This window comes from Homo sapiens, chromosome 6 (genome assembly GCF_000001405.40).
Source record: "Homo sapiens chromosome 6, GRCh38.p14 Primary Assembly".
NCBI classification, from domain to species: Eukaryota; Metazoa; Chordata; class Mammalia; order Primates; family Hominidae; genus Homo; species Homo sapiens.
Window position 1 is genome coordinate 38,206,358 of NC_000006.12, and position 25,634 is coordinate 38,231,991.

The following is a 25,634-nucleotide window of genomic DNA, read 5'->3' on the forward strand; positions in this document are numbered from 1 at the left end:
AGCCTCCCAAGTAGCTGGGATTACAGGCACCTGCCACCATGCCCAGCTAATTTTTGTATTTTTAGTAGAGATGGGGTTTCACCATCTTGGCCAGGCTGGTCTTGAACTCCTGACCTCACGTGATCCACCTGCCTCAGCCTCCCAAAGTGCTGGGATTACAGGCATGAGACACTGCACCTGGCCACTTTTTAACTCTAGGGAAAACAAATGATAAAAAAAAAAAGGTGATCATAGTACACTACATGGCTTGGCTCTGAACGATAGTTACATAGTCATCCTAATGCCAACAAGAAATCTGATACAAAGAAAAACTGTGATTTAACTAAACAGGAGGATGAAGCAGACAGGTGCATGTGTGTACTTGCAAGGGCAGAGGGCAATGAAACTAAATCCTTATCTTTCAAAGTAGGAACACAATAGATAATTCCAGTAATGTAATTAGGAAATAGCAGAATAAGCACATAGTTTAGAATATGAAGATACAGACCAAAAAAAAAAGAAGTCTAAAAGAGATGAATATGTTTGCCTCAAAATCTAAAAGTCTGACCATGTGTTATATTGGACAAGGTAGGGTGACACAGGCACTCTGACATATTGCCAGAGGAAGTACAAGTTGACATACCCTCAACTAGCAAAATGTTAAATGCACATACCCCTAGAGCCAGCAATTCCCTTATACTACTTTAATTTATGATGTGTTTGCAGCATAGGGAAGAAGAATAGGGATTGCACTGCAGCATCATTTGAACAGCAAGAGAGCCACCTAAATGCTCATCACTGGGGATTGGTTAAGTACATTATGGTAGATTCCTATCCTTATAATGAAGGACTATGAGCTGGGGGATGGGGGATGGGGAGAGGGAGGAAATGCAAGAGATCTCCAAGGTACAGAAAAATCTGTGTTAAAAGAAAATGGGGTCAATGATGTAATGGCATGTATTAGCTGAATCCAGAGTTGATATGAGTTCTAAAATTACACTGAAGCTGGGTGTGGCAGTTCATGCCTGTAATCCCAGCACTTTGGGAGACCAAGGCGGGAGGACTGCTGGAGCCCAGGAGTTCAAGAGATCAGCCTGGGGCATATAGTGAGACCCTGTCTCTACAAAAAGTAAAAAATTAGGTAGGTGTGGTGGCACATGCTTGTAGTCTCAGCTACTTGGAAGGCTGAGGTGGGAGGATCACCTGAGCCTGGGGGATCAGGGCTGCAGTGAGCCGTGACTGCACTGCTGCATTCCAGCCTGGGCGACAGAGCGAGCCCTGTCTCAAAAATAAACAAACAAACAAACATTAAACATCAAATAAAATTACACTGAGACCTTGAAGGAAAAAAAAAAGTAAATGGGGAGAATATATATACTTGTTTATGCATAAACTATCTCTGAAGGAAAAGGTAGGAGGGAAACATTTCAGTCTACAGTTTTAGATTTTTAAATAACATTAAATATATTTTTTGGAATATATAGTTTTTTTCAAAATTACTTTTTAAAAGAGGAAAAAGAAAAGCAGTTGCTTTCCGAGAATGGGACTTGGGGTAGGGAAGGATGAAGCAGAGGACTGCTGCTTTTTGTTAAAAGTCTTGTGGTTTTACTTCACTCTCAAAACTGTCCATGTATAACTTTGATAATTTTTTTTAATTACAATTAAAAAAAGCAGAGCCTAAGAAAGGGAGCAGAGCCTATGGTGACAAGGAGTGGAAAAGGTACATGGGAAGCATATGTATTTACAGCCTTTGGGAGCAGGGCTGGAAGGCAGGCATGAACCTTTGGAACAGATTCTCGAAAAGGGAAGAAATAATAAAAGCTGTCCCCTGTCAACTGAGCTTACGGCAGTGACGGCGGTGCCCTCTCCAAGTTGCGTGGCACTGAGACGTGACGGGTATTAAAGGCCTTGAGTGAGCATGGAGACTTGCCTGAAGATCCCTCTGACAGTTCTTTATGAGTGAGCCTCTTGAGCTGACCCCACAGCTGCCCACTGTCCCTCCAAGCATGCTGCTCTTATTGTCTGGCGCATTGTAGTGATGGGCCAAGGACCACATTCATCTCTTTAATCATATCTAAAGATGATCTATGGACTGGGGATATGAGAGAGAGAGCATTTTCCAGAACACTGGGTGAGGTGGGAATTACTGTTTAACAGCCCTTAAGCTGGGCCTGCATGTCTGTCCCCGCTAGGTCCCCAAAGGCAGAGCTAGAGAGGGTGTCCTATGTGGCAGAGACTCAAAATCAGCCCGGATCCTGTTTATTCCCTTCTGAAGAGCTTCCTTGGCCCCAGATCTCTGATACCAGTCTAAAGTGGAGACTCAGTGTGCAGGCCTCTGTCTAATCTGGCACCCCAGGAGTATGTTCTTTTGTTCTGCAGGATGCTTAACTGGATTTTATAGCTGTCTCGCTGTCCAGACTTACAGGGAATTCTGGGTTCGTTCCATTCACCCTGTTTGTCCATTCAACAACTATTTATTGAGACCCTCTATGTGTCAGGCTTAGGAAAAATGGGGCCAAGTTGATCTAACCTGACTGCAGACCTGAGGCAGCAAAAAACCGTGTTAGGAGCTATGGGAATTAGTGATTGTTTTGGCCACACGCTGACTAGCCAAAGGCTCACTAAGATCAAAAGTCGCACATGGGAGCCTCACAGACATACCTTGCTGGTTTCCTGAGTATTTTTTAAAAAGTTGAGTTAGCTGCCACTTAAACATTGGGAAATTTCACAGCAAAACAGAGATGCCTCCCTTCTCTTGAAAACCAGAAGATCTGGCATGCATGAGTCCTCTTCCCTGCCTGACAACAGCTGGAGATGAGGAGAGCTTTTGGTGGTCTCTCTTACTGCCTGCGCCTGCCCTGGCCTGCTTTGCTCCCTCACATCACCCATCTGGTCCAAGGAGGTGGCCGAGTGTCTACCCCAGCCTTAGATAGAGCTCGGTGTTAAAATGGACTCTTGTACAGTAATCTCACCAGGTTCAAAATTCTTTGCGGATTTAGCACCAGAACTGACATAAAAATCATGTTTCAGGATTAAGAAAAGTAAATCCTTATACTGTTTTGTTCTTGGCCTCGAGACAGGTACAGCTGAGGACATAAGAACTAACTACAGTCCTCACTTCCTGCTGCCTGCCTTCCCTTGGCTGTGGTTAGCAGAAGTCTGGTTATAGCTGGACCGGTGGGTCTTAACCTTGGCTGCACATCAGAAACACCCGTGGAGCTAAACTTTTGAACTCCCAGACCACAGCCCACACCAATTAACGCTCAAAACCTCTGGGGGGGTGGGCCCTGCTTGAGTCCTTTTTAAATTCCTCAGGTGATTTCAATGTATGGCCAAGGCGGGCCCCTTGCCCAGGTTGGGGATTGAGTGTTAGGAGCAGCTTGCTAGCATGGACATGTGGCATCTTCTGTCCCGACTACAGTCCGCTTCCACCTCCCTGCCTGACTTCCTTCCTGGGATTCCTTGATCTAGGTAGGTGAGCATTTGATGCTTTCTGGCAGAGGAGGAGCTTCAGACTTCTGTCTGGTAAATGCACTTGCATCTACTGCTCTAACGTAAGCCAATCTTGAGTTTTGCCTTCTGTGCTCATAGCATAATTTTCCCTTTTAGAGGGGTTGCCTCTCACAGAGAGCGGCAGGACCCTCCCGCCAGCTCCTCATATTCTAACGCTGTGGCAGCTACAGAAAGGGATGTGTCCCAGGGGCGTCCATGGCGGTTTGAATGACTACGTGGGGAGACAGGGGAAGGGGGTGTTTTAATGCTCGACGTCTCACTCAGTACCCCAGCCCCAACCTTGCTCCCACTCTGCCATACAGCCTCCTTGATTCCCCTAAGGGGATGCAGTAATTGATGATTAGCATTCCAAAGCTTGGCTTACATCCTGCTAGCCCGTCATATTTAATTACATTTTAACTATATTCGTCTTCGATAATAGCACGAACATAATTTAGATAATTATCTCTCTCTCTCTCTCTTATTCTCTGACTCTGTCTCACTTAGAACTTCCTGCAACAAAAATCACTTTCTCGGCTCAAACACATAAACAGACTCTGGGGCCAAGTGCTTTTCTCTCTCCTGCAGCAGCAGCTGTGCTAGAAACGCAATGATTTTGAGTATCATGCAGAAAAAAGCAAATTCGTGTTTCTTCCTGTCTCTGTATTCATGTTTGTACACAAGTGGTGGTGGGAGAGTGCGTGTGTTTGTGTGTGTGTGTGTGTGTGTGTGTGTGTGTGTGTGTGTGTCTGCATCTGGGCAAGAGTTTTTGTGTAGTACAGAAAGAGGAGACGCCTAGTCAATCAAATTAGTCTATGAAGCACCCTCTTGGTCTGGCATTTCTTTCTTACAAGGTTTAATGGTTTCGCTCCCAAATTTAAACTCTGTTGAAACAGTTCTAAATGTCTAGTAAGTCTTTTGAAGAGATGTGTTCTTTCCAATAGGGTTTCTGTCACACTTGGATCTTATAATTAATTACCTTTACCCTTGTCTATTATCCGCCTTCTCCAAGAGACCATCAGGTATGAGAGAGAAACTGGGACTCTTCAGGGAGAGTGTGTCTTGAACACACTGCTACACATTACCAGGCGTCCCAGTCCCTCCTGAACACCAAGTGGGTCACACACATCTGAGTTCCTCGGCCTAACAGCTCCCCTCCCCTTCCCCATTCTGGGCAAAAGGTATCAGAGCCTTTGTTGGTTTTCCTAGAGAAGCTGGCCATTGTAGCTGAGCTCTTTAGGTACAAAGATTTTTATGTTGCAAAGTTCAAGTCTCTGAGAAGATTCTGAACAAATAAGGAATAAGAAATGGGTTCATAAGGCCAGGCACGGTGGCTCACGCCTGTAATCCCAGCACTTTGGGAGGCCGAGGCGGGTGGATCACGAGGTCAGGAGATCGAGACCATCCTGGCTAACACGGTGAAACCCCGTCTCTTCTAAAAATACAAAAAATTAGCCGGGCATGGTGGCGGGCGCCTGCAGTCCCAGCTACTCAGGAGGCTGAGGCAGGAGAATGGCGTGAACCTGGGAGGCAGAGCTTGCAGTGAGCTGAGATAGCACCACTGCACTCCAGCCTGGGCAAAAGAGCGAGACTCCGTCTCACAAAAGAAAAAAAAAAAAAAAATTCACTCTAGGCTATGTGCAGTGGCTCACACCTATAATCCCAGCACTGTGAGAGGCCTAGGTAGATGGATCACTTGAACCCAGGAGTTCAAGACCAGCCTGGCCAACATGGCGAAAGCCCATCTCTACTAAAAAATACAAAAATTAGGGGGGTGTGGTGGTGCATGCCTATAATCCTAGCTACTCAGGAGGCGGAGGCACGAGACTCGCTTGAACCCAGGAGGTGGAGGTTGCAGTGAGCTGAGATTAAGCCACTGCCCTCCAGCCTGGGCAACAGAGCAAGATTCTGCCTTAAAAAAAAAATCACTCTGGCTCAACCTTGTCTGATGTTGAACAGGAATATGGGGCTATATTTGTGTAGTTAACAAACTCTTGCTGTCACTTGCTTGAGGCCAAAATTCCTAGCTGTTCTTGGCAATAAACACTCAGACCAGATTTCAGGAGCTAGGCAGAGTGTCTAGACCAACATTTTGCCACCACTGTGTTGAGTCCACCAATTGACTCTTCTCGTGTGACTGACCCATGGCTGGGTGATGTGGGGAAGGGAAATCAGCAATTTGCTGATTCTGGCAACTGCGTAGTAACCTGTTGACCCACCAGAAAAATTATTATAGAAACCATTTAACGTGGTCCCAGGAGAGGCTGTGGGGTCCTGTCCTTGGTGATGTTAAAGAGGGGCACAGGAGTGGCCCTCCCTTGGTGGCCAGGAGAATGTTAAAGCCTGGAGCTCTTTCTGAGCAGGGGCTCTCCACCCATGGTGCAGGCTCTGGGCTAATCACTCCCATTCCTCAGCGATGGCTGCTGGGTAGAGTGAGGTGGACGCAACACTGGGCAACACTGGTCTGTGCTGAGGGGCCTGCCTGGGGCTGTGGTTTCATGTGTGTGAAATTCCTATACAGAACAAGCTGGGCTACTCTGGGCCAGCCTGCGCTGGGGGACAGGAAGGTTGAGAGGGGGTGACACAGGACTATGGGGCATGACCCTGCACAGGCTTCACAAACTTTGATTTGCTCCCTGTTGCTCAGAAAGTTGTTCCTACTTTTGACCTCTCAGTACCTAGCTTAGAGGCTTGGGAATTTTGCTGAAATTTGCCTGAAAAATAACAAAAACCAGGGTGTAGGTCTCCACTAAATGGCAATGGCAGAGCCAGCCGCTTGGCCACACCCCTTGCCAGCAGGCATCTCTGGAGGCTGGTGAGGGGAGGGAGAAAATTCAGTCTGCTGTTCCCCAGAGGATTTCCTGCCCCCAGAAAACACAATGCTAAACAAAGTTATTGATTTAATGACGTCAGCAGCTCCTTTCAGCCTGTGAGGAGGGCAGGTGAGCTCTGAAAAGCCTGCTACCTCCAAGGAGACGGCCTCCTCCTCCTGGCTCCGTGTGGCTGTCCAATACCACCCCCTTCTCCCCCAGCAGCGCATTCCCTCCCAGAAGCACCCTGGAAATGTGAAGACTAGGCATGGGCAGGAGCCAATTTTCAAATGTTAAGAATTTGGCAATTTCATTTCCTAATGTTTTAAATACCAAAGGGATTTAGAATACAAAGAGGACTAACTGGCCCCTGAATTTCAGGTGTTTTTTTTTTTTTAAGGCTGCTTTTGTGGAAATTAATGTCAAAAGCCCATGCAAAACAAAGCCCAGCCCTGACCTATGATCTCACACACAGCTAAGCAAGCAAGTGGCCTTCCAGAAGGATCACCAGACGGTCTCAGAATCAAACCTGATCAATTTCATACCTAAAAGTTACACTAAACCCCTGTGGGTATTTTAGATCTAATGACAAGCCAAATTCGTTCAGCACCTGACAGTGGGGAGATATTCAGTAAAAACTTTAAAAATAGACTCTCCCTCTCCAGCCATTAAGGGCCTGATATTTGCAGCTGAACAGACAGGAAGTTGGGAGCACTTGGGAGAGCTTAAAAAAATCTCTGGAGTAAAAAAAAAAATGTTTTCCTATGATGAAAACCATTGCCCTTAGCACAGAGCGGCCCAAGATTAGCCTAGAGCTATTTAACACACTGGAATCTCTGAATATGAGTTCTGTAATAAAAAGGTGACAAGTCTTTGAGGCAGGCCCCATAAAGGCCCTTTCCGGGATCTGCATTAACTGTCACATTCAACACAAAGCACTGCATTCAAGACAGTGAATGATCTGCAAGCCAATGTGAGGCAGTATGTGGCATGTAACAATCTTTCTTCTGGGACAGTTTCTGTCAATAAAAAAGTTGAATTAAAAAAAATAAAAAAATCATGGCTGGGCGTGGTGGCTCACGCCTGTAATCCCAGCACTTTGGGAGGCTGAGGCGGGCGGATCATGAGGTGAGGAGATCGAGACCCTCCTGGCTAACATGGTGAAACCCCATCTCTACTAAAAATACAAAAAAAATTAGCCAGGTGTGGTGGCAGGCGCCTGTAGTCCCAGCTACAGGCTGGGACTGAGCTGGAGGCTGAGGCAGGAAAATGGCATGAACCCAGGAGGCGGAGCTTGCAGTGAGCTGAGATTGCGCCACTGCACTCCAGCCTGGGTGACAGAGCGAGACTCCATCTCAAATAAACAAACAAAAATAATAATAATAATAATAATAATTTCTCCCTCTTTTCAAACATTTTCTTGATTTAAAAAAAGTCACCATTAGCACTCTCTGGTGTTGATGACTTTTCGGGTCTGTCTGTGTTGGCCTAGATTTCTCTCAGGCTTATAAAAGGTGCATGTTCTCTCCAAGGCCCCTCACTCCCCACTGGCTGGCTCCAAGTCACTCTCTGGCCCCTCCCTCAGATTCCTGCCATACACTGGCCTAGATGCAGGCAAGGATGGGCTTTCTCTGCAACCCTGCTTTTTCCTGCACATCTCAGCGCCCTCAGCCAGGCTGCCATGTGGCATTATGCCAGTGCCAGAGTGTAGCAAGGACTGACCTAGCCCGCTGGCTCCCTGTGAGTTCACAAAGAAGGTGGACAATGAGACAGGACAGGTGACAAGGGCATATGTTAAGTACATACATTAAGTTAAATAATTTAAATCATTTGACACAAAAACCAGATGCCAAGACAGGCAGGGGGATCAGCTGGGCACTGAGAGAGGCTAAAGGTGTGACAGGGCAGGGAGAGTCTGCAGGTCACTTTAGTTGGCCAGAAGAGCGAAAACAGGGAGGAGGAGGCTGCAAGGGAGGTCGCGTGCTTTTTGTGAGGAATCCTAATTCCCCTCAAACCAGCAACCCCAGAGATTCCCAACCCATATTTTGCCAGCCTGGGCTTCCTGTGTGCCCAAGGTTTGATGCCATGTATTTCATTACACCTGCTTTGAATTTTGTTCATGCCGTCAGGGCTAAGATATCAAGCAATGACTTCTTTACTACTTCATAGTAAACAAGCAGCCATAAGACACAAGAAAATATGGCTTCCTTTCAGACTGTGTTTCAGTCTACCCCTAGCTATTCACCGTACCAGTCCCCTGCCCTGAGGGTTTTGCAGAGCTGAAGGCAGATGCCAAAAAGTCAAAAATTGCATTCAACAAGGTTAAAAGTTATCCTTGGCACACGGAAATCTCTCGCAATAAAATAACATAAGGCACTTGCTGAAGCTACATCAGCTGATTTTTCTGTATTATTTCTTGAGGAGGAAGGTTGCTGGGTGAAGGGGATGGGTGAAAAAACTGACCAGTAACTCTTTCTGATTCTATTGTCAGGCTTTAAAATCAGATGGATCAGCTATTAATCTCAGAAAGCCAGCAGTGAACGTGTGCAATAAATTTGTCATCATTTTATGAATAAGCTCTCGGTCATGAGGGCTTACTGTCTGGCAATTCACCTTTTCCATGATATTTTCTATCACTTGTATTTTGGAGCAGCTTAGAAAGAATATTATTTGTGTTCCTGCAGATCTGAACATAAAAAGCCCTTAGAGTGATGGAGACGAACAGGCAAGCTTCAATGTCGGCCTCCGGGCTCGCTAAGCAAATAGTTTACCCACGCGCGAGTGAACAGCACCAGGGGACAGGAATCACTCTTCCCAGGCCAGGAGAGCACTCATCCCCTCAAGAGCTGCTAATGAAGGCCCTGTTAGCGCTGGATGACGTCGCACATACCCATTGGCTTTCTGTCAAAGATTGTCAAATAGAGCTGTTGGTAATCACAGCTGGCAAGTTATTTAGTCAATATTTTTGAAAAGTTCAACGGAGTGTGTGAAAGCATAAAGTAGATTTTCCTAAAGTTATCAGATGATTTACTCATCTCCCCACTTTGTGATGGCTCAGCTGCCATCAGAATCACACTGGTGTCCTGCTGGGCAGCCCTGGAGGGGTGTGGGGCAGGAGATGTAGAGACAGATGAAATTTCAGCTGTTTTATCATTCAGCTGTTTTTTCCCATCAAGTCAGCAGAACTCTAGATCTGAAACTCCATACTGCGGAGGCTTTAGAGATTAACAATAACAACAAAAAAATCAGACCAATCCCTCCCCACCTGCGCCCCCCACACCACTGCCACTAATCCTTCCATTGTTCCATTCCATCCCTTGCCTAAATACTGCCCCAGGGGGAAGGCCCTCAATATCAATTTTCGGGTTCTGAGGAGGACATCTCTATTTTCACCTTTCACTTCTTGTGAAGAAGCACGGCTCTGTTCTATAATTAGAGATGACAAGTATTCTTTTGGGGCCATTTCTTCTGGATGTAACAAAACATCACAAAGGGGAAACACACTCAATTAAGAATGCAACTCTGACATTGTACAGTTTGTTGACTCAGAGCACGTGATTGGGCCTCTACTCTGAGTGATGGCTGTACCCTTGGGGTATCCATCTTTGTTTTTATGATTTTCATTTTCTTATCTTCAGTTTTATAACCTTCATGAGAAAGAAAAACCATGACTCCCAACTTTGGGTCAAAATGCCCCAATTAGCAGACAGACCTGTGGACCAGCAGACTGGTACAGGATCTGTGGAGCACTCCTCACAGTCCTTGGCTAGGACTATGGTGGCCAAGCAAGTCTATCAAGCCTTCTGCAGAAATGGAAGCATTTGGGAAACACAGGCTCCCTCTTAAGATCTTAGACGTTAGAATTCCCAAGTCTGAGTCCCTGGAGAAGTGGATTTTCTGCATGTATAATGGCAGGTTTATGTCCCATCTCCTAAACTCTATTATTTCCCTGTGGACCACAGTGGTTGGCAGCTGGTAAAAGCATCTGAAGGATTTGTCATGGTAGTGAAATTCTCACTGGTCCTCATAACAGAACCACTATACAATGAACTGTGTTGCAGCTGTCACTAACACCTTCATAGTCAGTGAGGAATACAGCAACCACCTTCTGGGCAACCCCAGTGATGCTCTAGTCCAGGGCTTCCCATCGGTGGGGGAGGGGTGTGCATCCACAAGTGATTCTGATGCACATTCTGATGCGCTATTCCAAGGTTCTCAAACATGAAGTTCAGCATCACCTGTTGGGGATGCTAAACACAGACTGCTGGTCCACCTTGGGGTTTCAGATTCAGTAGGTAGGAGAGGTGGGGCCTGAGAAGTTGCATTTCTAATATGTTCCCAGGTGATGCTGATGGCCTGGGAGCCACACTTTAAGAATCCCTGTTCTGGGCCAGGCGCAGTAGCTCATGCCTGTAATCCCAGCACTTTGGGAGGCCGAGGTGGGTGGATCATGAGGTCAGGAGATCAAGACCATCCTGGCCAACATGGTGAAACCCTTTCTCTACTAAGGATACAAAAAAAAAAAAAAAAATTAGCCAGGCCTGGTGGCGGGTGCCTGTAGTCCTAGCTACTCAGGAAGCTGAGGCAGGAGAATCGCTTGAACCCGGGAGGCAGAGGTTGCAGTGAGCCGAGATAATGCCACTGCACTCCAGCCTGGGTGACAGAGCAAGACTCCATCTCAAAAAAAAAAAAAAAAAAAAAAAAGAATCCCCATCCTACAACAAAGTGGTCAAACCTATGCTCCATCAGGTAGAAGGTGGCAAAGTGGAAAAATCAAGGGAGGCTTTAAGAATAAGAAAGTAAGGAAGACTTAGGAAGATAATTTTAGTGACAGTGAGGATGAGGGACTGACATGGAGATACCGTGGGCAAGAAGGTTCCAAATGCAGCTCTCAAAAGTATTCCACAGGTATCCTGGTCAGGCGGAGAGGTTTGTGAATCCAGGATTACTAGGGTGGGAGAGGGGCTGTGATGGAACAGAATGTCTAACAGACTAGGAATCACAACATCTGGGTTTGGGCCCAGTTTGGTTTTTTAAACATTATTATTTTTTTCTTTTTTCTTTTTTTTTTTTTAACTGAGAGAGACAGCCAACACGTGGGCCCAGGTTTTGCCCTTCACTGGCCGCATGGCCTTGGGCAAATCACTTGATCACTTGAGTCTCTGCTGTCACACCTGGAAAACCCTATGCTGCAGGGAGCTGCGCAAGTCAAACGAGGCAGAGGCTGGCAGAGGCTGCTGTAAACTATCCCTATGAAGGTAAGGCCTTACCCTGCTGCTGCTCCATTGTACCCAAGGGATGTCCTACCTGTTGCAGGACCAACTGACCCTCCCTTACATGCTAAGTCTACCCTGGGCTCTGCCTTCAATCTACTCCTTAGGAAGGAGGAATATGGGAACTAGCTCAGCAGTCACGTGAGCCTTGTTCTGGATCCCGTTCTGGTTGTGTAGTTGGGTCCTAGGAACTGGCTCTCACTGGTTCCTGATAATTCACCAGTATGTCATACCTCTGGTTCCAGTAATTATTCTATATTCAAGTCTATGCCTACCCCCAGGGGCAACAAATGTTTTCTGTAAAGAGCCAGATAGTAAATATTTTAGGCCACACAGATCTCTGTCACACATTCATTTTTAAAATGTAAAAACCATTCTTAGCTTTGTACTAAAGCAGATTGCGGACAACTTTGGCCCTAATTCCTGTTCTACCCAATCCTCTGAACTTCTGAAAGGCCTAAGTTCCTGTTGTAACCTTTCCAACCCTCTTTGTGCTGCAGTCTGTTTTCTGAACCTGCTACCACTTGCCTGGAACACTCCCTAACTGCCAGATTCTATGCTGTGCTAATTTACCTGTTGTCCTGAACAACCCAACCCCTTGGACCTGCCAGATGTCCCCTGGGATTTCTTATCCTGACTTTCACTCATTTCTACTTTAGATCCCTTCCCAAATATTCTGTGCCATTCCAGTAGGTGTGGCCCATGTCCAGGCCCTGACTTTCCTGGTCTGGAATGTCTACCACTAGTTGCCTAGCCTCTAAATCCTGAAGTTGAATGTGTGTGTGGCACGGACAGAAGCTCACAAGAAGGACAGCCATACTGAGGCTATGATGGGGCAACTTCATGAAGGAAATGCTGGTCAGCTTGACTTAATTTTTTTTATTCTCAAATCCCAACTGATCAACTGACTATATATTTCTCAGGCATAAAAATTGAATGACAATTTCTAGTTCTACATGGCATTTTATCTGATATGGGAAGAACAATCCATTTATGAGGGTGACTTTTAGAAAGACCATCTCCAGTATACTTTTTTGGAGTACCCGCCCAGGCTGTGTACCAGGTTTGGTGATACTGACAGTTACTAATGACTGACTAGCTCTTTGTATAGGGTCTAGCAAGGAGCAATACAGCCCAAGTGCTGCCCAGTCTATTTCTTCAGAAGGAGGATGAGGAGAGGGACAGATAGTATTAAGTCATTACTATCACTTTCTTTTCTTTTTTTTTTTTTTTTTTTTTTTTGAGACCGAGTCTTGCTCTGTTGCCAGGCTGGAGTGTAGTAGCACAAGCTTGGCTCACTGCCAGCTCCGCCTCCTGGGTTCAAACAATTCCCCCACCTCAGCCTCCTGAGTAGCTGGAACTACAGGTGTGCGCCACCACACCCAGCTAATTTTTTTTTTTTTTTGTATTTTAGTAGAGACAGGGTTTCAGCATGTTGGCCAGGATGGTCTCAATCTCTTGACCTAATGATCCACCCACCTCAGCCTCCCAAAGTGCTGGGATTACAGTTGTGAGCCACCATGCCCGGCCTCACTTTTTCTTTTTTAGACTAAATACTCTCTCTTTACTGAATCACCCACCTAGGTTCACTTCTCCACTTTCAACTTTCTGAGTCTCTGACTTAAAACTGTTCCATTACGTCATATCACCTAGATGCTGGGTTGTCATGCATCTTACCTGAGCTATTATGAAACAACACAATAGCAGAATTTGGTTATTCACTAAGAATAAATAAAGCCAGATGGTCTCAAGATGAGTGTGTGTTCTTACAGTAAAATGAACTCAGCAGTCACTAAAAAGATGAAAAAGCAGATACTGTTGGCTGGTTTTGCCATATAAGCCACCAATAAACATTTGTTATACTTTTCTGCAACATGATGACCTAAAATACATATACAATTATAAATCGTTTCAAACACTAAGGAGGGCATTTGGCTATCTCTGCCATCTTTCCTCTCCAAAGAGCTGGATAATTAGACCCTCTTTGAAGGATACATTTTTAATATGGTATATCAGTAATATTTCATGTTATTTAATATGGTAATATGGTATATCAGAGTCATGTGTTGATGTGGCTTTCTGTGCTTAAAATACCTAACCAACCACGGAAGTAAATTTGTTAACTATCAAGATAATGAAAAAGTGCGTCTACCTCTTGGGCTGATGTGTTTTGCGTCTCTGGGCTGGTGGCAATGGAGGTGGGTACAGGGAACATGAGGCTGAGAACATGGCAGTGGGTGATGGTGTTGGGGGACATGCCCTAGATGGTGAGCGTGCCCTCTCAGGGCACGGCCCCACCTTCCTCAGCACTGTGGGTCTGCAATACTGACGTTCACTAGTCCCACTGCAAAGCAGGCTGTGTTCTCACAGCTCCAAACTGAATACAAAGGTTCTTTGAATGGGAGTTTACTCTTGGCTTTCTTTGAATAAGCTACTGATTCACTTTGGCAGTGAAAAAAGCTCCATCCCACCCCAAAGTAGCTTGTACTTGAAATACAGCTTCTAAGAAACAGGTATAACCCTATCAGTGTTTTCACTAGGACTTGAATCCTTTCTGCATGGTTTGAAAATATACATTTGTACTGGCCAACAGGGATCTTTTACTCAACTCTCATAAAGTTTTACAATGTATGATTCATTTTAGAAATGAGACTTGATAATGCAGATTTATCACAATGAGAAGGCTGCCTTTAAAATGTGATTTAATGATGCCTATACTTATTTGCTGACATCTTTATAAAACTGTTAGTGTGGAAATATATTTGTCTTTTCAAAAATAATTCTTCCTTTTACAATGTTGTGCAACACAAGAGCCATACACTAAAAATGCAGCCGAAAGAATAGCAGTGGTTTAATTATGCGAAGACAATGTCACACCAAGCACCATCGCTGCCTTCTTGAGATTCTTGGGACACTACCAGGCCTGGCAAATATATTCTCCTTTCCAGCTCCCTCCACCCATGCATGTGAGTCTAGGCTTGGGGATGCTACTGTAACCAGAGGGTAGAGAAAGGCTCTCCAAGGTCATACAGATGCAAGAATGCAGTAAATAAACAGGCCACTGATTATGATTTAGCACTGCTTTTCTTTCTACTCAACCAGGGTTACGAGCAGATCTTGATGATTTAACCTTTCAGCCAATTAGAACAGAAGGTTTGATTGACAGCCAATGAATAAATAACATTTTAGTGCAGGAGACAGAATCATCCTCCCCTATTAATCAGTCCCTCTGCCCATGTGCAGGTAACACAATATTTATCTCGCCACTCTGTTACAGTCCCTTGGGGTATCATTTCATGGCCTACCAGTAAAAACTTCACATCTACAGCAACTGCCCCTCTATTACTGTCGATAACATCTAATTGATATGTCAAACCTCCAAGGAATGCAGTCAATCGAAACACTGCCTCCCAAAAGAAACAGGCAAAAAGGTAAATCAGCACCTGCTTTCCTGTAATCACCCAGCCACCTCCTGTCCAAAAGCCTCCCCCCAGGGAGCCACCACCACCATCTGCCCTTCAGTCTGAGACATCCCAGCATCCCAGATGAAGGGACACATGGGCCAAGAGTACCACTAAATTCCTGCCCACAAAATGTCACAGTGATGCCTGAGGAGTGCCGCCCGTCAATGAACCATTGCATTGAAATAATTTTGCCAGGGGAAACCCAGCTAGACTGTGAATGCCACAAGCATTATGTGGGGTATAGTTTGGAAAAGAACAGTAATAACAACCCAATAACAATATTACAGACTTCCCTCTGAAGAATAAGCAATGCTGTAAGAGATATGATCTCAAAAGGCCGGGTGCGGTGGCTCACGCCTGTAATCCCAGCACTTTGGTAGGCCGAGGCAGGCGAATCACAAGGTTAGGAGTTCAAGACCAGCCTGGCCAATATGGTGAAACCCCACCTCTACTAAAAATACAGGAATTAGCCAGGCCTGGTGGTGCATGCCTGTAGTCCCAGCTACTTGGGAGGCTGAGGCAGGAGAATCGCTTGAACCTGGGAGGCGGAGGTTGCAGTGAGCTGAGAGTGCACCACTGTACTCCAGCCTGGTGACAGAGAGAGACTCTGTCTCGAAGAAAAAAAATAAAAAATAAAAAATAAAGAAAGATGATCTCATTTATCTTCCAAATATCCCTACAGGGTAGGGAGGAGCTGGAATAATTATTCATTGAAGTCCAGCCAAGGAAGAGACTGGTCTAAGTACTTATCATGAATTGGGTATGTTTGACACTGGAATATAAGATTTGTCTTAAATCACAGGGCTCTTAGCTACTCAAATATAAAAATCATATAGCTGAAGAGAGAAAGGACTAAATTAGCCTTAATAATTCATTCAGTTGTTTTTTTTTTTTTTTTTTTTTTTGAGACAGTCTTGCTCTGTCACCCAGGCTGGAATGCAGTGGTGCGATCTCGGCTTACTGCAAGCTCTGCCTCCCGGGTTCACGCCATTCTCCTGCCTCAGCCTCCCGAGTAGCTGGGACTACAGGTGCCCGCCACCATGCCCATCTAATTTTTGTATTTTTAGTAGAGACGGGGTTTCACCGTGTTAGCCAGGATGGTCTCGATCTCCTGACCTCGTGATCCGCCCGCCTTGGCCTCCCAAAGTGCTAGGATTACAGGCATGAACCACTGCGCCAGACCTTGATTTTAATAATAGACAACATGAGATATATTATATATCATTGTGAGGGGAGGGCACCAGGGATGGTAAAGCTTCCAGTTGAAGAATATGTAACACTCATCTCTGTCTCTCAAAAACAGAAATACTCACATTTGTATTCTTACACCTAAGGGTAAAAGGTAGCCAGGGCATGGGAACTATTTAGCAAAAATAAAAAGTAAATGTAAAGATAGACAGACAAACAGGCAAAACATATTTAGAGCTAAACATGTTATACACACGAAAGGAGGTTTGTAGCCTCACATGTTCTTTCTGGCATCCTATTCCAGAAGTTTCGAACCTGAGTTTAGGGGAAGGTTTTATTTTATTTATTTATTTATTTTTTAAGATGGAGTTTTGTTCTTGTTGCCCATGCTGGAGTGCAATGGTGCAATCTTGGCTCATTGCAACCTCCACCTCCCGGGTTCAAGCAATTCTCCTGCCTCGCCTCTCAAGTAGCTGGGATTACAGGTTCCTGCCACCACGCCTGGCTAATTTTTTGCATTTTTAGTAGAGACAAGGTTTCACCATGTTGGCCAGGCTGGTCTTGAACTCCTGACCTCAGGTGATCCACCTGCCTCGGCTTCCCAAAGTGCTAGGATTACAGGCATGAGCCACTACGCCCGGCCTAGAGGAAGATTTTAGATTATCACGACAAACAAGTGAACAGCATCTTAATAGTCAATCCCATGAAACTAGAGCATTAAATAATCACCCTTCTAAATATGGAAAGGTTTTCCTGTGCAGGAATTCTGAAGTTATTTGTATTTTTTTAGAGACAGGATCTCACTCTGTGTCCCAGGCTAGAGTACAGCAGAGCAATCATAGTTCACTGCAGCCTCAAACTCCTGGGCTCAAGCAATCCTCCCACCTCAGTATTCAAGTAGGTGGGACTACAGGCACGAGCCACCATGTCTGGGTAATTTTTATTTATTGTTTTTGTAGAGATGAGGTCTCCCTATGTTGTCCAGGCTGGATTCGAATTCCCGGCCTCGAGTGATCCTCCCACCTTGGCCATCCAGAGTGCTAGATTATAGGTGTGAACCACTGCACTCAGCCAGAGTTCTGAATTTAACATCAGTCCTCTTCCTCTCTGCTCAATTCTGCACCCATTCACGGCTCTGCCCTCACGCTGTCATACTCAGTTTTACCATTTCTGCCAAACATTTTCTTCCATTTCCTTTTTGGATTCTCCTTTTTTTTTTTTTAAACGAAAAATTGGTTATATCCAGCCTTAACATCTTCCCTAAACTTTTCCAATTTCTCATCTTGCTTTAGAAATCCCTGTTCTAGGTTTACTTCTTTCTATAGTTTTTTTGGAGTGACTAGAAATTCCTTAAAATAATGAGGTATGGCCTGGCGCAGTGGCTCACATCTGTAATCCCAGAATTTTTGGAGGCCAAAGCAGGCTGACTGCTTGAGGCCAGGAGTTCAAGACCAGCCTGGGCAACATGGTAAAAACCCACTTCTACTAAAAATACAAAAATTAGCAAGGTGAGGTGGTAAGCACCTGTAGTCCCAGCTACTTTGGGGGCTGAGGTGGGAGGATCACTTGAGCCTGGGAGGCAAAGGTTGCAGTGAGCTGAGATTGTGCCGCTGCACTCCAGCCTGGGTGACAGAGCAAGACTCTGTCTCAAAAGAAAAAAAAAACTTATGAGGTATGGACAATTCAGTAATAAGATTTGAGTCTCATAGTCTGCACGACCTCTTTTTCTATGTTTTCATTCCTCTTGGATTTGTCTATTTTCCTGGCTCAGTTGGCAAGCGCCTGGCCTGAGCAAAATTCCTAATCTCAGATATGGCCATGAGCGTATTTCTGGATGAGGGCCATCTCATTATGATGAGAAAGGAAAGGACTGTCCAAATCCAATGCTACTGCTTCAGGGAAGAGGACCCTTGGGGTAAAACCAATGTTGGATGAAAAATACTTAAGAACCTCACACAAAGGCTTTTTAGAGATTACCATCCAAAATACACACAATGGAGAAGCTCTATCAACTGAAAGGTCTGAACAAGAGTAAGGAAACCACACATGAAGAGTAAAAAATACAAAAGAAAAAACTTGTGTAAGACCAAGATCTATAAGAGAGAGAATGATCCATTATTGAGTCAAAGATCAATATGTAGCTGGTTCAAGTACAAAGGTAACTTTTTTTCCACTTCTAATTTTCATAATTTACATATTTAATCAGAGCTATCCAAATATCACCCATTACAAACCAACGCTTAACGTGGAGCTTGTTTCAGAATATGTGTGTTAGGTAGTACTTACATTGTTTACAAGGCTTGGTCATTCAGAACAAAAATGTAATTTCAAGGTAATAAGTATGATGTTGCAGTTCTATAATCTAACTGGGTATATTCATAAATGTGAGTCAGAAAGTCACACTTAGTTTAAGGTAACTAACTTCTGATGGAATTCTTGCTGGTAGATGGTGAATGTGGGTCTTAATGAGCTCTCCTATGAAAGGGGCACTTACCATGGACAGGAAGATATGAAAAAGCATGCTGGCTCTGTGAGTGCCCCTCAAGGCAGCCTTTGCATTTGTACCAAAATTCAAAGGACGGAAATGTTCAGTCAGAAGTTCTCTTACCTACCTCACTCCAGCTAGGGAACCAAGGCCATCTATCTCTTTTCCCACAATGCCATGGACAAATGGAATAGAAACAAATCAGCAAAGGTAGCTGCCACATCTTGCCCAATGATGTGTCCTAGAGGCTCTGAGATTCACTTGAATGAAGTCACCAGCAGTGAAATTCACAGTTAATGGGAAGATGCAAAATGCTCAGGAGACATTAGAAAGCTAGCCCCATAGACCCTGAAGGTGAAGACCAAAAGCTTCCCCAGTGGTAAGATATAGGAGAGAAGGGGCATTCCCTGGCCCTAAACTTACTAATGTCCTCCTGTGGAACCATTCCTTTAGTAACTATTAATAAAAAACTGTTAATATGTGCCAGGCATTTTATAGGTGCTAAGAATGTAGATATGAACAAAGCAGACATGGTCTCCACTTTTAAGGAACTTAATGCCTAATGGAAAAACTTAAGTTATAAATAACTTAAAATTATAAATTGTGACAGGTGCTATGAAGGAATAACAGGGGAGGCCAACTCTAGCTTGGCTGGAAAGGGTCACTTAACCAGCCAGGCAAGGGCAGGGGTACGAGGGACTACCTATGAGAGGAAAAAGAAGCATCAGGGGCAACCCAGGACTTCAAGGTGCTTACAATCTAGTCAGAACGACCTAATGACATCTGATGTTTGTATAGAGTTTTACCACTTACAGATTACTTTCATTGCATCAATTTATTTAAGGCAGATATGACACACACATAGAGAAGACTAACAATACTGGTACTTGATGACTGAGCACGTTTCATTGGCAAGGCTTAACTATGAGGCCAAAGGCCAAAGGTGGATTAGCTTCTCTACTTTCCAGGGTTCCCAAATCCTAAGGCACACTAGTCTTTTTTGCTCCAAAGTACTTAGCTCTTCCTGTGCCTTGCTTATTTTCTTATAATAACACTTGCTCTCACCTGCCCTCTCTGTTTCTTTGCTCCATCCATAGGAATGTTAGTTAGGCTTGTTCAGGTTACTAGGATAGGTCACCTTAGGTTTCAAAGGGGGGTGGGAGTGTGAAACCACCTCTTTTGTGGAGAACTGATAAGATACTGATCCCCGCGCCTGCACAGTTCAAAGCATGGCAACATATGTATAAGCAACTGTCTGTGGCCACCCTTCTCAAGACAGAACAGGGAACCAGGCAGGACTCAGCAGCTCTTACAGTAACTGAACAGAGCACTACAGTGATGACAGAGTGGGGGCAGGGGTTCCTTGCTGCTGCTCCAACTCTGCAAAAGGAGTCAGGAAATGGGGCTTGGATGGCGTGCAGCAGCCAGCAAGATGGCAGAGGTTCACAGAGAATCTCTAGCTCTGTGACTGCAGATGAGACACAGGCTGAGATGAGTCTGGCTGTTCTGCCCCAACTGCCCCCAAAACAACACACACAACTGAAGAGTAGGCAAGGAGAAAGGTTAAGAATCTAGGGGTGATGGCAAGGTTTTTGACTCTGGAAAAACAAGTATTAAAAATGCTCAAACCTGAGATTTGGGCATAAGAACACTTAAATCTCAAGGTGCTTGCTCAGGGGTGAGGACAGGTGTGTACACACACAAACATGCACACACACACACGCACTCACAGAGTTACCTCCACTGACATAAGAGGCTTCTAAAGTCATTTGTGGTACCATGGGGATCCAATTAACTACAGTCTCTCACAAACATTAAAATCCTAGTTAGACATGAAAACCACTGCTGCGGCCTATCAAAGGCAAGCCTACAGCTGACAGAGCAGCCTTGAATAAAACAAAGATCCAAAGACAGCAGGTTTACTCTGGAAGCAATTGACTTTATAACCACAATTTGACCCAGCATTTTACAGTGGCGACTAGCAGAGGCTGGGGCAATGTGAGGGTTACACTTAACAAGTATGTCCTGGAGAGGCTTGCTCACCCACTGTGTGCCTCAAGTCCCCTTAGTGCGAAGTCACTAGAGAGAGAAACCAAATGCTATACTGAAAGGAGATGCAGAACACTGTTTAGAGGAAGGTCATAAATTTTCTCTGGAGTTTTCTGAGGATTCTGGGATTCTGATTTGCTTCCAAATGAGACCACTTTTAGGGTTTGTACTTTGAGGTCCTGGCTGTCGGCATTAGTGCTGCCACTTGGTTTTGTTTTAGGAGCACATATTTAGTAGGCGGTTACATTCTTCTATATGCTGGTTTTTAATTCCTTGGATCTCTAATCCAAAGATGCTTGAAGGCCTAAACAATGAACCTCTCAAAAATAGGAGAATAAAGAGGCACACAATGAGGTCTGGCAAAGTGCTACAGAGCCCCAGACAAACATGTCAGTTACTGTCCCTATCCCTTCCGCCTGATGAGGCTGGGAAGGAAGGTGATCAGAAAGTGGCTGGGACGGCAGGGCTGGCTGGCCACAGTGGCAGGCTGAGGAATAGGTTCAAGAGTGCTTCAGAGAGGCCATAAAGACTCCTGCAGAAGGTCACGGCTGCATATCTAGAAAGAAACAAGGGATCACTTTCCTTTATGTATGCAGCTCTGCTGCTGACAGAGCTCTGAGAGTATAATGGAGAAGGGGGCCTGGGACTGGCATTCTCTCCTTGCCAAGAACTCAGGGATCTTGTGCTCTGATTAGCAGCCAGACTGGAGAACAGTGAGTTCTGCGGCAATGGGCACTTCTGGAATGCTGTGTGGTCTTTTCTTCTGAAGAAATTCAAAAGTGAATCCTAACTTACATGACATTCTGGAAAATGAGAAACTACGGAGGTAGTAAAAAGATCAGTGGTTGCCAGAGGTTGGTACTGGAGAGTTGGGGAGTAGGGATGAGTAAGTGGAGCACACACTCTGTATGATACTATAACAATAGATGTCATTATACATTTGTCCAAACCCATAAAATGTATAACACCAGGAGTCAACCCTGGCCAGGCACAGTGGCTCAAACCTGTAATCCCAGCACTTTGGGAGGCAGAGGTGGGCGGACTGCTTGAGTCCAGAAGTTTGAGACCAGCCTGGGCAAAATGAGGAAACCTTGTCTTTACAAAAAGTACAAAACTTAGCTGGGCATGGTGGCCATGCCTATAGTCCCAGTTACTCGGGAGGCAGAGGTAGGAGGACTGTTTGAGGCTACAGTGGGCTATGATAACACCACTGCACTCAGCCTGGTGACAGGGCAAGACCCTGTCCCCCCCCCCAAAAAAAAAAAAAAAAAAAGAGAGAGAGTAAACCTATGGACTTTCGGTATTATGGACTTTGGGTACTATGATGTGTCAGTGTAGGTTCATCAAATGCAACAAATGTACCACTCTGGTGGAGGATGTTGATACTTGGGGAGGCTGTGCATGTAGAGGGGCAGAAGGGATACGGAAAATCTCTGTACCTTCCTCCCAACTTTTCTGTGAACCTAAAACGGCTCTTAAAAAAAAAACAGTCTCTAGGCTGGGCACGGTGGCTCATGCCTGTAATCCCAGCACTTTGGGAGGCCGAGGTGGGTAGATCGTGAGGTCAGGAGATCGAGACCACCCTGGCTAACATGGTGAAACCCCGTCTCTACTAGAAATACAAAAATTAGCCAGGCGTGGTGGCATGCGCCTGTAGTCCCAGCTACTCAGGAGGCTGAGGCAGGAGAATCGCTTGAACCCAGGAGGTGGAGGTTGTAGTGAGCTGAGATCGTGCCACTGTACTCCAGCCCAGCGGCAGAGCGAGGCTCCGTCTCAAAAAACAAAAACAAAAACAAAAACAAAACAAAAACAGTCTCTAGGCTGGGCATGGTGGCTTACGCCTGTAATCCCAGCACTTTGGGAGGCTGAGGTGGGCGGATCATGAGGTCAGGAGTTCAAGACCAGCCTGGCCAACATAGTGAAACCCCGTCTCTACTAAAAATACAAAAAATTATCTGGGCATGATGATGGGTGCCTGTAATCCCAGCTACATGGGAGGCTGAGGCAGGAGAATCACTTGAACTTGGGAGGTGGAGGTTGCAGTGAGTGGAGATCACACCACTGCACTCCAGCCTGGTGACAGAGCAAGACTCTGTCAAAAAAAAAAAAAAAGTCTCTAAAAATCCTGAAAACATATTAATTAGGTACTTCATCTGATACACACAGAAAATAGTAACTGGCAAAGAGTAGACAGATGCTCATTACATGTGTGTTGAAGGTATGAAGTAAAATTTTGTTAAGTGCAAACCTCTGGGTTAACAGAATGTAGGTTCTCACAAGACAGCTCTTTAAATTATATTTAAAGATAATTATCATGACCCTACAGCCCCTTTGATGGTTTACCTGGATCTTGTTTTATCCCTAGTTCCTTTAATTGGTCCCCCCATGAAACAGTTTCCTGAACTCCCATCATCTACTTTTGCACAGGTGCCCAGGCGTGTCTTGACCAACACAGAGCACAATAGGAAGGTCATATGGATATATGAACACCTGGCAGACAGTGTAGACTAAGACTGCTCAAGGTTTGTAGCAGCCCCACCTAACTATTAGCTCTTATTGAATTTGTGGCCAATCAAAACCACAGTTCTTTTTCCCATAAACTTCTCTCAAGCTTGACTGCTCCCATCCTGTACTTGTAGAATTGATTTTCTGAACCTAAATGGAGAGCATCACATTTATCCCCATTAAATTCCATCCTGTTGGTTTGGTCTCACATTAGGGCCTGGAGAGATCGTTTTGAATTTCATGTCTGTCATTTATCACATTAGTCATCCCTCCTAGCTTTGTCTCATCCAGAAACCCGAGAAGCATGCCTTTCAGGGCATTGATAAAAAGAGTGAAATGTTCAGGACCAAGGACAGAGTCAGAAACACTAACAAGACCTTTCTCTCCTCTCCCTCATCCCCATCCTGACCGCCAGTCCATTCTACCAGCAATACATTTTCCATAGCCAGCTGCTTCTCATCATCTCCACTGTAAGTGCCCTAGTTCAAGTCATCTCTCATCTGTGTTAGAGCAACAGCTTCCTTACTAATCTCACAGTTCCATATTTAGCCCCCTTCTGATTTGTTCTCCACACAGCAACCAGAATGAACTTTAAAAAGCAGACATAAGGAGCTGGGCGCGGTGGCTCATGCCTGTAATCCCAGCACTTTGGGAGGCCAAGGCAGACAGATCACCTGAGGTCAGGAGTTCAAGACCAGCCTGAACCAACATGGAGAAACCCTGTCTCTACTAAAAATAGAAAATTAGCTGGGCATGGTGGCAGGTTCCTATAGTCCCAGCTACTCAGGATGCGGAGGCAGGAGAATTGCTTGAACCTGGGAGATGGAGGTTGTGGTGAGCCGAGATCGTGACATTGCACTCTAACCTGGGCAACAAGAGCAAAACTCCATCTCAAAAAAAAAAAAAAAAAAAAAAAAAAGACATAAGTTCTTACTACTCCCTTGCCTAAAACCCTCCAATAACTCCCCCACCTTGTTCCTAGAATAAAATTCACACTACTTACCAAACCTAAAGGTCATATATGATCGGAGATCTACTGGCCTCATCCCATCTCATCCCAACCTCTGCTTCCTTCACCGGCTTGGGAAGCACAAGCCATCCTTCTGTTCTGCACACATACCATGTTAATTCCCTCTTCAGGGCCTTAACTATTCCTTAGATCCTCTTTTCCCAAGGCTTTGGAAGGCTGGCTTCTATCTATCACTTATTTCAGTTCAAATGTCACTTTCTCAGAAAGGCCTTTCTGGCCTAAAGTAGCTGCTTCTTGCCTACCACAGCCTAGTCACTCTCTAATTACCTCTCCATTTCATTTTCTTCATGGCATTTATCAGTAGTTGAAACTTCCTTATTTATCTGTTATTTCCCCCTACTAGGATGTAAACTGATGAAAGTAGGGATCCTGTCTGCCTTGTTCAATGCCTAAGACTTCATAAGTGCTCAATTATTATTTGTTGAATGGTGAGAATTATAGAATTGGGAGAAATTCTCATAATGGTGAGAATTATAGAATTGGGAGAAATCAAATACATTTGCTATGACCTAACTTGCATTACTAAAAATGGCTCTTGGTTTCATTTTTATACCACCATTATTATCTACTTTGTTATCAATATTTTATGATGCCATCAAAGAATCAAATTGAATTACCAGCATTGAGTTAGGTCAGACAATAATTGGTAGTAGAAATGCATTATGTGGGATAACACAGACATGCTACTTAAAAACCATGCACTATGAGAGACCTCCACATTGCTGGTGCAGAATTAACATCTCACCTGCAGCTGTGTGGCTACAGGATTAGACTGTTTTCATATGAAAAGTACCACTTAAGAGAGTTGCTGCTTAATCAGATAAAGTTCATGGCAATGTCTCTAACTCCTTCATTTATATATAATTTTGCCCAATATAACATTAAGGGCAAGGATAATTCTGATTTCAAAAATCTGAATTTTATTTACTTAGAATTCCATCACAATGCCAGTAGAAGACTCTATTTACAGTAGGAACTCATACTGTTGACCTAGTAGTCAACACATAAAGTGGGCCATAAAAGAGGCTAGAATGGCCCATCAAGAGCCTGGCAGCTCATCAACCCCAAGCCATCAGGCCCACTCACCTGAACCTGCACTGGCACCCAGCAGTGCTGTGGCCTAGCCGCATGGGAGAAAGACAGGACCAAATTTCCTACTATGACAGCAGGGCATTCTGGTCTGTGTTTTGCCCTTCTCTCACCCATAAAATGAAATCTTTCCATTTGAACACATAAATTAAAATGCATTTCAGATGTAATCCCTGATCCAGCCACATATTTGTGAAGAGAGAACCATGAGAAATAAGGAAGGGGTGGGCAGGGACAGGAAATAGGAGAGAAGGGAAAAGGGAATCTGTT

At 44.8% G+C, this 25,634-nt stretch overlaps 1 protein-coding gene and 1 pseudogene across 7 annotated transcripts in view, besides 1 other annotated feature; one reads left to right on the forward strand and one right to left on the reverse strand.

The window, feature by feature from the left end:
- BTBD9 (BTB domain containing 9) overlaps window positions 1–25,634 on the reverse strand; it is a 471,479-nt gene that overhangs the window by 37,907 nt on the left and 407,938 nt on the right. The window lies entirely within an intron of this gene.
- On the forward strand, window positions 917–988 carry LOC124901525 (uncharacterized; annotated as a pseudogene).
- Window positions 9,045–9,546: an enhancer, noted in NCBI's record as "NANOG hESC enhancer chr6:38183178-38183679 (GRCh37/hg19 assembly coordinates)". NCBI's record gives its function as "activates a minimal SCP1, AML or CMV promoter by ChIP-STARR-seq in primed H9 embryonic stem cells {active_cell/tissue: H9 hESC(primed)}" and the evidence as "EXISTENCE:reporter gene assay evidence [ECO:0000049][PMID:30033119]".